The following is an 8,527-nucleotide window of genomic DNA, read 5'->3' as shown; positions in this document are numbered from 1 at the left end:
GAGCTGTTCAGTCACCCAATAAAGCTCTTCTCTGCCTTGCTCACCCTCCAGTTGTCTGAGTAGCCTCATTCTTCCTGGACACAGGACAGGAACTTGGGACCCACCACACAGTGGAAGCAAAAGGAGCTGTAACACTTCGCTGGCTGGCTCACCAGGCTGTGGGCAGTGATACGCGTCTGGACTGTGGGAGTTAAGAGTGGTAACCTTTCTGAGGCCCAGACCTTGGGATTCCCCAAGCCAGAGCTGTAACACTATAGCCCTCCCGCCCTCTGTCAGCAGTGACAGGAGGCAGGGCCAGACTAGCCCAGGAGCTTCAGGCCAGAGCGGGGCGGTGGGACTGAAAGAACTGTGACACAAACTGGCTGAAATACTACCCCAAAACACCCCCAACCCCACTTGCCACACTGCAAGTGATGAGAAGGAGAGAAGAGCTGTGGGCCTCCCCAAGCCAAGACCGTGACATGCTGTAACACCCTTTGGGGCTCTGCGGTTCCTGGCATCTCCAAGCTTTTGGGCACCAATGCGTTCCCCTCGTCCAGTTGCTGGTGCCTGTGGTGGAAGGTCCAGCTGCAGCTTCACACAGAGCTGGCACCTGTGCCCGTGCCCGGAGCTGCCCACCCCACCATAGCAGCTGGTGTGCCTGGCTACGTGCACTGGCCAGACCCCATACCTGCACACTCACACACCCCTCTCTGCTCCGCACTTGGCTTGCCCATGGCAGGTGGGGGATCTGGGCTGGTAGCGTGAACTAAGCACAGCCTGCCAGACCAAGTAGGTGGAAGGAGCTCAGCGGCCACGAGCAAAACTCAAGCAGAGATGCCACTGGCCACAGAAGTTTCCCACTGGCGAAGCGATACCAAAGTCAACACTGAAGGATCCTGTGACTGTGATGAGGGCTCACTACAAAGGATCCAGTGACAGCATGGTCAGGGCTCACTGCGAAGGATCCAGTGACAGCACAATCAGGGCTCACTGTGAAGGATCCTGTGACTGTGATGAGGGCTCACTATAAAGGATCCAGTGACAGCGCGGTCAGGGCTCACTGCGAAGGATCCTGTGACAGTGAGGTCAGGGTTGACTGCAAAGGATCCTGTGACAGCAGGATCGGGGCTCACTGCGAAGGATCCCATGACAGTGAGGTCAGGGCTCACTGCGAAGCATCCTGTGACAGCGCGATCAGGGCTCACTGCCACCTCAAAGTCCTGGGCTCAAGGGACCCTCTGCCTCAGCTTGTCCAGTATCTGGCACCACAGCTACTGCCACCACACCCAGCTAATTTTTTAAAAAAAATTTTTTTTGTAGAGACTGGGGTCTTGTTTTGTTGCCCGGGCTGGTCTGAAACTCCTGGCGGCTTCAAGTAATCCTCCCACCTCAGCCTCCCAAAGTTCTTAGATAACAGGCATGAGCCACTGTGCCCAGCCTAAAATATACATTTTAAATTTTAAAATAAATCTAATTAAATCAGGTCTCACCCACCAGGACTGCTGGATCTAGATGGAAGAGACTACTGTTTTTGTGTATATTTGAAATTTTCCATAATGAGGATCTGATTTTAAGGTTCTGATTCTAAGTTTCTGAGTTAGTTTTCTATCTCATGTTAATGGAGTTCATATTGGTGTGTCTGGAGAAAACTTTCTTTCCTTACTTTTCTTAGCACCATGGAGACAGGCTGACATTTCCAATAGGAACTTTGCTGAAAAACAAGGAGAAACAAAAAAAAGAAGGCACACTCAGAACCAGTCACCTTGGTTCCCGGTTCACTAGCGTCACTAGCAACACAAGGCTAGGTGGCAAACGTCCTTAGAAACCTTAGCTGCTCTGCAGGTAGGTTCCTGCCTCAGGGATGGGCTTCCTGGTTCATCTTGCCCAGAGATTTTTAAAGCAGAAAAGTGCTTACCTCCAGTTTCTCCAAGGACCCTCCCACTTTTGTTCTGGGATGGTGATACTCCTGGAACCTGAAGATAAAGTCACTTGAATATAACATCAGCCCATGAGCGTGAAGCTAGAATCGCTTCTAGCTGAAAACCGTTTTACATTTTAAAAGGTGACTAGGCGTACTTGGAAGTTCAAAGCAGTAGGATGCACCGTGCAGGGAAAGAAAGAGGAAAGCCCTTTTCCATGTTGTTTCCAGTCGCACTGGGTGGGACTGAGGTCAGCAGAAGTGACCCAGAGAGAAGTGTTCATGTGAAGGAACAACCAAAGTGACTTCTTCAAACTGACGAAGAAATTCTTCTTCAAACAAGAATTTCCCCCATAACATCCTTTATGACTTAAGTTCAATGACAGTTTGTGTTTGGTGGTAAAGGATTTTCTCCATGGCGTAAATTAAGACCGTTGGAAAGCACCAGGCAGTGGGTGCAGTAACTATCTGAGGACTGTGCTGGTGCGTCCTATGTCCAGGGACAAGGGGCAGCGTGCCTCGTCTGTGTTAGAGAGGGGAACGGATGGGATCTGGTGCTCCTCTTCTCCTGGATTCGCATCCCCACCCAGAGCCCAGTTTTACTGAGTATTCTGCCCTAGCCTGGTTCAAAGAACTCATCCAACTGACTTTATTAAGTGGAAGTGGGGTATATTTGATATATATTTGCCTAACAACATGGAAAAGGGCTTTCCTCTTTGTTTCCCTGCACGGTGCATCCTACTGCTTTGAACTTCCAAGTATGCCTAGCCACCTTTTAAAATGTAAAACAGTTTTCAGAAAAATGAGGAGGATTGCTTTCCTTGCATGCACTTATTATCTTGACTACCTGTATTACAAGGGATTTTTATATATTCATACATTCCAAAGTCAGCAGTTCTCCTGTTGGTTCATTATTGAATGTGATGTAAAGGAAGTCTTTTGCAATTAAAATGAGATTTGCCCACATCCAAGAAAAAAATACACAAAATAAAATAAATGAAACGGCAGTCTAATTAACTGTTTCATAACCTCACAGCCTAAAGTCACGGGTGGTGAGCTGTTATTTCCCAAATATCCAAGAAGGGAAATCAGACAATAAGGAAGTGGCAGATGTTTTATCTCCCAATGCCAGGTAGGCAAAGACCCTTTGTAACCTTGTTTTAGAAAGAATTCTTGTAATATGATCATGAACTTTGGTTCTGATGTTAGACTGTCTAGGTTACTGAATGTCTCTAAGCTTTGGTTTCTTTGTTTGTAAATTGGGGATAATAACAATACCTATCTCGTTGTGAAGACAAAAGGAGGCAATTAATGGAAAGCATGTAGCGGCCGGTCATATGAAAGCCCCCATAAGACCTGTTCTGGGAAGGATGGAGAGTCATAGGGAGGTGGAGGGAAGACAGAGAACATTTGAGAAGCTGGGTCTTCATAATGGGAGATAAGAAGCGAGGTTTCACGGCCAGGCGCGGTGGCTCACGCCTGTAATCCCAGCACTTTGGGAGGCCGAGGTGGGTGGATCACCTGAGGTCAGGAGTTCAAGACCAGCCTGGCCAATATGGTGAAAACCCATCTCTACTGAAAATACAAAAATTAGCTGGGTGTGGTGGCAGGCGCCTGTTATCCCAGCTACTTGAGAAGCTGAGGCGGGACAATCATTTGAACCCAGGAGGCGGAGGTTGCAGTGAACTGAGACCACACGCCATTGCACTCTAGCCTAGGTGACAAGAGCAAAACTTCATCTCAAAAAAAAAAAAAAAAAAAAAAAAAAAAGCAAGGTTTCTGTCCCCTGTGGCTGCTGTCGCCACCTGTGGCTGCTGTCACCACCTGCCCTCTCATCCAGACAGGTAGGCCTTGTGCCTTTCACACCACAGGGAAGGAATGACGCCATAGAATGCAAATTGTCGGTGCTCATCTTTTAATTTCAGCAGTCTGGGTGCTGGGGGACTCAGGCAATAAAGATTGGCACAGAAGTAGCACTGTCCCCGCATGGCAGAGCCATATGGGCAAGGCTGGCAGGAGAAGGCACAGTGGGGAACAGCAAGGACCCCGAGGCAGCAGGAAACCAGAATATCCCACACTCACATGTGGTCAAGATGATGTGAAGAAGCAAACCCCTAACCCCACCTCCAGTGCTGTGGCACTCCTAAAGCCACTGCCGAATTTAGGGGCAACACGGGGGAAATATTGGGAGGATTTATAGATGAGTCATTAAATTTCTGTCGCCCAGCAGGACAGGACACAAAATAGAAATCAAGCTGTTCTGTAAAAGAGTAAAGTCACAGTCCTCTACTCCTCAATTTGTGGACTGAGATTTGGACACACATAGTAGATCACAGAGCCAAGACACTAGCAGTGACGACGGGTGTCCAGGTCCAGGGGACTGAATGACAGGACTCAGTGACCTGCCAAGGATGAGCAAGGAGTCAGTGAGGGTCTCAGTTCCGTGGATGTGAGATTTTGGCCTCTAGAGAGGGGACAATACTTCGGAACAAGAATCACTCATGATAATTTTCTATGACCTGAGAAAATCCCCTCAAGAGCTTTCAATTCCATTTGCTCTGATTGCAGCCTCACTAAGCAACCTTCTGATGGCTCTTAGTTTCCCAGGTAACCTGAAGAACATTCTGGCTTATTATGTATCAGTCTTTGAGAGTCTAATTAGGGCTACCTTGAGAACCTGGTCAAATTAGGTTGCATCTACAAGTTCAGGGGTCTGGTGATGCACATCTGAGGCCCAGGCTCCATACCTTCAACCGCATTGAGGTTCTGCCAGTCCAGGGTTTCTGGACGCCTTTCTGAAGCCAATTATTAGCACTCCAGTAAGGAGGAGATTGACTGCTGTAACCCAGCATGTACCTCGGTGGGGAAGGAGAGGGAGAGAGCCTATCGGAAGCACTGGAGATGGAGTTACTGTTGAGAGTCACTGTTGTGAGCCACTCTGCTGAGCTCCATTTTCACTTTTAGGAGTCAATCCTGGGGACGTCCCTCTCTGGAGCCATTTCACAGGTTTTGATGATAACATTTATTATTGTTTGCTTCCAGGTATTTTCATTTTTCATTGCAATTTTTTCTTTGACCCATGGTTAATTCAGAAGTCTTTCAACTGTTGTCAAAGCATACATGATTATTTAGAAGTTACTTGTTACAAATTTCTGCCTTTACTACATTTTGTCAGAGAATGAGGTTTGTATTATACTAATTCTTTATAATGTGCTAAAATTAGACTTGTAATATGGTCAATTTCTATAAATGTTCTATTTGTGCTTGAAAAATGTGCATTCATTATTGTTTTTGTTTTTGTTTTTTGAGACGAAGTTTTGCTTTTTTTGTCTAGGCTGGAGTGCAATGGCACAATCTTGGTTCACTGCAACCTCTGCCTCCCAGGTTCAAGTGATTCTCATGCCTCAGCCTTCTAAGTAGCTGAGATAACAGGCGCCCGCCACCACGCCCATCTAATTTTGCATTTTTAATAGAGACAGGGTTTCGCCATAGTGGCCAGGCTGGTCTCGAACTCCTGACCTCAAGTGATCCACCCGTCTTGGCCTCCCAAAGTGCTGGGATTACAGGCGTGAGCCACCGCACCTGGTCAATTTATTGTTAAAGCAAGTATTTGGCTTCACCTTGTTTTGTTAATGCCCAAATACCTGCATGATTATCAATTTAAAAATAAATAATTATTGTATTATTAGTCTTCTGCTCAATTAATGTTTGTTACATTAGCCAGATTCTTAAATTTCTTTTCTAATTCTCTTATTTCCTATCATTCATTCCTTCTGTATACAGTTGTCTTCTTCCTGAAAAAATATCCTTTAAAACTTACTTTAGATCGGGCACAGTGGCTCACGCATATAATCCTAGCACTTTGGTTGACTGAGGCAGGAGGATCACTTGAGCCCAGGAGTTTGAGACCAGTCTGGACAACATGGTGAAACTGTCTCTACAAAAAATACCAAAAAAAAAAAAAAAAGAAAGAAAGAAAAAATTAGCTGGGCATGATGACACACCCTTGTAGTCCCAGCTACTTGAGAGGCTGAGGTGGGAGGATCTCTTAAGGACCTCCCCACTGGGAGGTCAAGGCTGCAGTGAGCCACGATCATGCCACTGCACTCTAGCCTGAGCAACAGAGTGAGATCCTGTCTCAAAAGACAATAAAATTTACTTTAGTGAGAGTTTGCTGATGGCAAATTCTCTCAGTTTTTATCAGTGAAAGGTTCTCATCTTTTCATTGTTATTGAACAGGGGTTTAGCTGGTATCGTAGTCAGGGTTCTTCAGAGAAACAGGACCAATTGGATGTGGGTGGATATATGGGTAGATAGATAGACATAGATTGATTGATACAGATAGATAGATCTGTATCGGTAGACAGAGAAATATAGCTCTATCATCTATCTATCTATCATCTATCTATATGGAGATTAATTTTAAGGAGTTGATTCATGAAATTATGGAGGCTGGCAAGTCCCACGATTTTCCGTATGGGAATCAGGGAATAAGAATCCGAGTAGAGGAGGGGCAGGGAGTGCTAATAGCAGGACAACAGCAACTGCAGAGAGAAGACGGTCAGGCCGGTGAGGGAAGGGAGGAGAACGGGTGTCCCGGACAGGTTCTTCTTGCAGTCCTACTCGATCCCAGAGGAGGCAGGACGAGGCCTTGAGCTCCCTGGCCAGTGTCCCGGGCCTGAGGCAAGGTGAGAGCTATGGTTACGGGGAGCTCTGCAGGCCTTGCTCTCACAGCCCTCGCCCCAGGGACAGCAAAGCAGCAGCTGGAGGGAGGTGGACCCGGAGAGACACTCCATAAAAGGGAGCGGCACCTGGGCAGGAGGGTGATGCTGGTGACGTGTAGGAGTGAATCCGTGAGTGAGTCGTGGCGGTGGGGCGCCAGCACCAGTTCCCCGAAAGTGAGAGCCCGGGAACAGCCAGAGATCAGAAGAGGCGTGGGACTGCAGCCTTGAAAGGCGCTAATGAGAGGAGCCTGCCACTGTAGAGGGTATAGCTTGGTGGAAGAGCCTCTGCCTACACGCCAAGAGGTTCCTGCTTCAAGTCCAGGTGTCTCCTATGGTTTACGTTTTTATCCAGCAAGAGTATTTTGTTTTCTTCCTCTCCCACCCCTCAAAAGCCAGCCTGTAAGGCTGTAATGTCTTATTTGTCTGTGACAAAGAAATAGAATGCAGCAGACAAGCTTTGCTAGCCTCACAATGACTTTTCTAGCAGGTTCTCTCTGTTTCTGCAGAAACCCTGTGGTACGTTTGAGTAGGTTTGAATCCTGATTCTGCCTCCTGCCATCTGTGTCATTGTTAGCAAGTCACTGAGTCTCAGAATCCTCACAACCAGGACAACTGGGGTCCCGGCAAGGAGACCACGTGTGGACAAACCTGTACGTTATGCCCAGGAGCTCAACTCCGGCTGGTTTGTGCTGCAACATCGCCGAGGACTCCACCCAACTTATAAGCGGGACTTGCTCCATCTGCTCCCTCTGGCCTCTCACTTGCCACTCTGGTTGCTGCCTGGGCCCCACCCGCCTGCCTTGGCTACTTCCATTTCTGCTTGTGGACAGAGGGCAATGCATCCAGGAAACGTCCCAATGTGGAAATGCGGCTCTCACCGCCCCTGATACAAACTAAACACATTCTTTCCAGAAAGCCTCCCTTCCCCCTGGACACAATGACCTAAGGGGAACAAATAGCCAACCCAGACTCCTGGCTCCTGCGGTGACTGGCCAGAGACTCCCACATCCTTTCCCACACCCTGTGCAGCCCACCCCCACCACCCCTCATCCAGCATCCTCCAGAGAGAGGGGAAGAGAGAGGAGGGGGAGCCTGGAACTTTGTATTCCATATGTACATGGGTGGAGGCAAATCGGTGCATCGTGGAGAGATAGTCCCACTCCACTAGCAAAAGCCTTCCTCCAGATATCAGTGCAAACTCCTCAGGGCAATCACTGGTACAAAATCATCTCTAGCGCAAAGTCATATTTCTTTTCTTCCCATTCCCCTCATTTTCTGATCCCAATTTCATCTGCAGCTGGGATCTATTTAAATTTCTAACTTCCAGGCATATCTAACTTTTTGTCTTTGGTGGGAAGAAGACTGACTACATAGAATAATAATCATGAAATAATTTATTTCTTAAAATAAATTTTAAAAATAAAAATAAAAATTATTAATAGTAAGAACATTGCAAGCCCTCAAGGCTTCCAAGCTGGGGTCCTCTGTGTATTTCACCTCCCTGCTTCCAACTCACCTCACCTTTCAGTCCAAAAAGTTACCAAATCCACTCTGTTGCCCAGACTGGAGTGCACAGGCCTGATTATAGCTCATTGCAGCCTCAAACTCTTAGGCTCAAGTAATACTTCCAACTCAGCCTCCTGAGCAGCTGAGACTACAGGTGTGTACCACTACGCCAGGCTGATTTTTAAATTTTCTGTGGAGATGGGGTCTCACTACGATGCCCCAGCCTGGTCTTGAACTCCTGGGCTAAAGTGAGCCTTCCACTTCGGCCTTCCAAAGTGCTGGGATTGCAGGCATGAGCCACTGCACCCAGCCCAAATCTTATAGATTTTTATTCCAAATTTTCGTCCACTGTCTCTACCCAAACTGCCACAGCTTCATGTACTCTTGCCTGAATCAC

General features: G+C 47.4%; 2 long non-coding RNA genes across 3 annotated transcripts; one reads left to right on the top strand and one right to left on the bottom strand.

Moving 5' to 3' along the window:
- The first annotated feature begins 3,773 nt into the window (after positions 1-3,773).
- On the top strand, positions 3,774-8,072 carry LOC105375559 (uncharacterized). 2 transcript variants are annotated; one of them, XR_928103.3, is made up of 3 exons: positions 3,774-4,719; positions 4,943-5,083; positions 7,131-8,072. It is a non-coding gene; the product is annotated as an uncharacterized LOC105375559 (long non-coding RNA). The 2 variants fall into 2 exon arrangements; XR_007060584.1 differs by having other exon boundaries at positions 3,774-5,083.
- On the bottom strand, positions 3,799-7,051 carry LOC101928733 (uncharacterized). Its single transcript, XR_242213.1, has 2 exons — positions 6,712-7,051; positions 3,799-6,578 (listed from the first exon to the last, which is right to left on the bottom strand). It is a non-coding gene; the product is annotated as an uncharacterized LOC101928733 (long non-coding RNA).
- Positions 8,073-8,527: the final 455 nt, after the last annotated feature.

Source organism: Homo sapiens, chromosome 7, assembly GCF_000001405.40.
Source record: "Homo sapiens chromosome 7, GRCh38.p14 Primary Assembly".
NCBI classification, from domain to species: domain Eukaryota; kingdom Metazoa; phylum Chordata; class Mammalia; order Primates; family Hominidae; genus Homo; species Homo sapiens.
This window is presented reverse-complemented; position numbering and strand designations above follow the sequence as displayed.